This window comes from Homo sapiens, chromosome 2 (genome assembly GCF_000001405.40).
Source record: "Homo sapiens chromosome 2, GRCh38.p14 Primary Assembly".
Lineage (NCBI taxonomy): Eukaryota > Metazoa > Chordata > Mammalia > Primates > Hominidae > Homo > Homo sapiens.
Window position 1 is genome coordinate 208,841,502 of NC_000002.12, and position 5,276 is coordinate 208,846,777.

Consider the following 5,276-nt stretch of genomic DNA (forward strand, 5'->3'; position numbering starts at 1 on the left):
ATCTTTGTTAGTGTCAAATAATATAAAAAATACAGAATATAATGTGTGTCAGCCACTGTGTTTAATTTTAAAAATTTGGTTGATGTTTTAAACCCCATAGTTTTATTCATTTAAATGATTAATTTTTATGAAATATCTATGATATGGCTTTTGTTTAACTATTATTTGTTTCTATGTAGCAATCAAACATCAAGTAATACTCTCAATAAAGATGTGTAATTAAAACAGAAGAGGAAACAGACTAACAGAAGTGATGAAGAATGGCAGTTCTAAGGATGGCAGGTGAAATTATTGCTATGTCCTAGAGGCAAAATGATATTACTCACATAAAATATTTCACTGAGTTTTTTAATTATTTATAATTTTTGTTATAAAAATCTTATAAACAAAAATTTGAGAAGGTGATATGAATATGTATATGTAAGAATAAAATGAAGTTTTTCATTAGGAAAAGAAGATTTGGAAATTTTGAGCATTAACTACATTATGATCTGAATCATTTTTAAAGTAATCATTTTAAAAAAGAAGTAAAATATGGTTGATCAAAATTACTTATCCAATGAAAATGTAACCAGAAAAAAGCATACCTTATAATAAAATATATTTAAATTCCAAATAATAGATTTCTCTCCAGAAACCATTTTGACAAAATATGCCAAAAGCCCTCAAAGGACTTATATTTTTTCCTACTTGATGTGGTTTGAATTTTTGTCCCTGCCCAAATCTTACGTTGAATTGTAATTCCCAGTGTTGGGGAAGGAGACTGGTGGGAGGTGATTGGATCATCAGGGTGGACTTCCCTTTGCTGTTCTCATGACAGTGAGTGAGTTTTTATGGGATGTGGTTGTTTAAAAGTGTGTAGCACCTCTCCCTTCACTCTCTTCCTTTTTCTCCAGCTGTGTAAGACATACCTGCTTCGCCTTCACCTTCTGCCATGATTGTAAGTTTCCTGAGGTTTCCCCAGCCATGCTTTCTGTACAGCCTGCAGAACTATGTGTCAATTAAACCTCTTTGGTTATAAATTACCCAATTTCAGGTAGTTATTTATACCAGTAAAAGAATGGACTAATACAGAAAATTGGTACTGGGAAGTGGGGCATTGCTATAAAGGTACCTAAAAATGTAGAAGCAACTTTGGAACTGGGTAATGGGCAGAGGTTGGAACAGTTTGGAGGACTCAGAAGAAGACAGGAAGATGAGAAAGAATTTGAAATTTCCTGGAGAATTGTTAAATTGTTGTGATCAAAATGCTGACACTGTTATGGATAGCGAAGTCCACGCTGAGGTGGTCTCAGATGAACATGAGGAACTTATTGGGAACTAGAGTAAATATCACTCTTGCTATGCTTTAGCAGAGACTGGCAGCATTTTGCCCCTGCCCTAGAAATCTGTGAAACTTTGAACATAAGAGTAATGATTTAGGGTCTCTGATGGAAGAAATTTGTAAGCAGCCAAGTATTCAAGATGTTACCTGGCTGCTTCTAATAGTTTATGGTCATACACTTGAGCAAAGAGATGATCTGAAACTGGACCTTATATTTAAAAGGGAAGCACAGCATAAAAGTTTAGAAAATTTGCAGCCTGACCATGTGATAGGAAAGAAAAACCCATTTCCTGGGGAAAAAACTCAAGCCTGCTGCAGAAATTTGCATAAGTAAAGAGAAGCCAAATGTTAGTAGCTGAGACAATGTGGAAAATACCTTCAGGGCATGTCAGAGACCTTTGTGGCCGCCCTTCCTATCACAGGTCTGAAGGCTTATGTGGGAAGAATGGTTTTATGGGCCACACTGAGGGCTCTGCTGCCCTGTGCAACCTCAAGATACTGTTCCCTGTGTCCTAGCCTCTCGAGCTCCAGCCATAGCTAAAAGGGCCCCAGATGTGTCTCAGGCTGCTGCTCCAGATGGTACAAGACATAAGCCTTAGTGGCTTCCATGTGGTGTTGGGCCTATGGGTGCAAAGAAGGCAAGAGTGGAGGTTTAGGAACCTCTGCCTAGATGTCAGAGGATGTATGGAAATGCCAGGATGTCCAGGCTGAAGTCTGTTGCAGGGGTGGAGCCCTGTGGAGAACCTCTACTAGTGCAGGTGGAGGGGAAATGTGGGGTTTGAGCCCCCACAGAGTCCCCACTGGGGCACTGCCTAGTAGAATTATGAGAAGAGGGCCATCGTCCTCCTGACCCCAGAATGGTAGATCTATCAACAGCTTACACAATGCACCTGGAAAAGCTGCAAGTACTCGACACCAGCCTGTGAAAACAGTAGTAGGGGCTATGCCCTGCAGAGCCACAGGGGAAGAGATGGCCAAGGCCTTTGGAGCACACCCCTTGCATCAATGTTGCCTAGATATGAGACCTAGAGTCAAAGGAGATTATTTTGGAGCTTTAAGATTTAATGATGGCCCTGCTGCGTTTTGGACTTGAATGGGACCTGTAGCCCCTTTGTTTTGGCTGATTTCTCCCATTTGGAATGGGAGTATTTACTAAATGCCTATACCTCCATTGTATCTTGGAAGTAACTAACTTGTTTTTTGTTTTACAGACTCATAGGTGCAAGGGACTTTCCTTGTCTCAGATAAGAGTTTGGCTTGGGACTTTTGAGTTAATGTCGGAATGAGTTAAGAATTTGAGGGACTTTTGGGAAGGCATGATTGTGTTTTGAAATGTGAGAAGGACATGAGATTTTGGAGGGGCCAGAAGTGGAATAATATAGTTTAGATTTGTGTCTCCATCCAAATCTCATGTTGAATTGTAATCTTGGGGGAGGGCCCTGGTGGGAGGTGACTGGATCATGGGGGTAGACTTCCCCTTTGCTGTTCTCATAATAGTGAATGAGTTTTCACAAGATCTGCTTGTTTAAAAGTGTATAGCACCTCCACCTTCACTCTCTTCCTCCTTGTCTGGCCATGTAAGATGTGCCTGCTTCCTTCAGCTTCCACCATGATTGTAAGTTTCCTGAAGCCTCCCCAGCCATGCTTTCTGCATAGCCTGCAGAACTGTGAACTAATTAAACCTCTTTTCTTATAAATAACCTAGTTTCAGGTAGTTCTTTATAGCAGTGTATTACTGAAGTAACACACCACTTTAATTTTACTCCTATTAATCAAGCCGAAAAAAATATTTAAATAGATGAGAACTTTAAAAAAGAAACATATGCAAAGATATTTAAATTTCTAAGAAAAGAAATGCTAAAAGAGAATATACTCAGTACAATAAATGTGGCTATTAGCAATAGAAGTTGAAAGTATTTATAGTAGCACGTAGTATTCTTATATGGATAACTGGGGAAAAACAGCATACAAATTTAAGTATAATTTGTAAGCCCAATTACTAAAAATAAAAAAAAGTATGCATTGAAAAAGGTTAGAAGGAAATAAAACATTGACAGTTTTTTGTTTCTGAGAATTTAGGAAATTGCTTAATCTTTACCTTGCATTTTGCATATTAAAGTATGTTTTATAATGAATTTTATATTAAAAAATTCAAAACTATATCTAAAAATATGTGTTTAATAAAATAAATGAAAATGACATTCCAGATGTAACCCATATATCTAAACTTTTTCTTTTCTCAGCAAAATGGAGAAATTGGCATAAAGCAGTTTTTTAACACCTCAGTCTATTTCTTTCTCTCCAGCAGGAATTCACTGAATGTCTATCTATCATGTATGCTGTTGGAGGCACCTGTCTTTCAGTTCAGAGGTTATGGATGTATCTATCATCAGTATTTCGGGTGAGCAATTGCCAATCAATTTCCTTCGACAATGGGTTTGGCTTTTTTATTGTTAGAAGATTAAAAGTTCTCAGAACTTGCTGTGCAACAAGATATTTTACTAAATCACTGTTTTTACATTCAGCCTATTGTTATTCTGTTATTTCACTTTGTAAAACACAAAGCTTTTTGCATAGACTTTTACTTTTGGCCAAGTGGTGTGATAGAAACCATATTCACTCCTTCTACCTGAAGCAACCATAAAACTAGCAAAGAAATATGAAACAACGGTTTTCAAGACACTGGACATGAGCCAATGAAGGACAGTGATTTCTGGAAGATGGGATTTTCTTTCCCAGCGAAGATTGGTACCATTGGAAAATTTGACTTAAAATTTGACAGAAATTTGACTTGACATGCAAAAAAAAAAAAAGTAAGAAACCTGAATGTCAGTAATACAGTGTCAATTTTAGTGTTTAATACTTCAGTTCTTTTATATTAAATAATGCAGAAGACAGACAATCTGGGAAACGTGTGAATGAATGATTATGACTATGGCAGGTCTCCTTTATTTACATATAAAAAATAAACTATATTAAAATTTTATCTTAACACTTCACTAATTTATCTTTTTCATACTAGGAATGGAAAGTTGTGATAGTGAGTTCATTGAATGAAAAGTAATGCATGTAAGCTCTGTTTTCTCACAGTTAAGCACTGGTAGAGTTGGGCTCATTTTCTAGATTATTAAAGATCTTCAATCGTATTTGTTTCCTTTAAAACCACTCTTCACAAATTTTCTTTTCTTGACAGACTTAAATCTCTATGCTAGAAATTAGTGGCCCTTAACCAACTCTTGACTTTCCTAATGCTTAACTTCTGTAAATATACTTAAATTCTAAAGTTTATGTTACCTCTAACCTTTTTTTCCTGATTCTGTTTGCTCTTGAATACTCTCAGAAAACATATTTCAACAATCTATTAAAAATATACAAAAAAGAAAAAAGAAAACTTCTGCTTTTTAAAGCAGAATGAATATGAAATGTTAAAGGATTCAATTTTAATGATGTCCAGCTTCTTTTCATAATGGTTCTTTTTTGACCATTTATTAGTTTAAACTGAACAATTCTGAGAAATTTTATATTATTTTACTATGAAATCTGGTTGAAATGAAAACAGTAGAATGAACTTGAAATTAGGCTGCAAATGATCACACTGTACTTTTTCAGCCAAGTTATTTTCATTGCAAACACAGAATGAGGTTTTTATTTCCCATTTTATCAGGTATATAAAATTTCTGCTCTTTTTTTGTGGGGATAGGTGTTTCACTTATGCCTTTTCTCTTCCTTTTACTCATTTTTATCTGAAACTATGAATTTAATCTGTTCTTTTAACCTGCATTACAATAAAAACCATGTCTGCATGCTCTTATTTGTTGCTTTCATGTTGCAAAAGTGGCCCATGATCACATGGGATCATGTGGATCACCTGGAGTCCTGATAATGACCAATGGCATTAGAAAGGAGAAGGAGCAGTTGGGGCCTCAGGGCAATCCCACGAGGTGATGGCCTG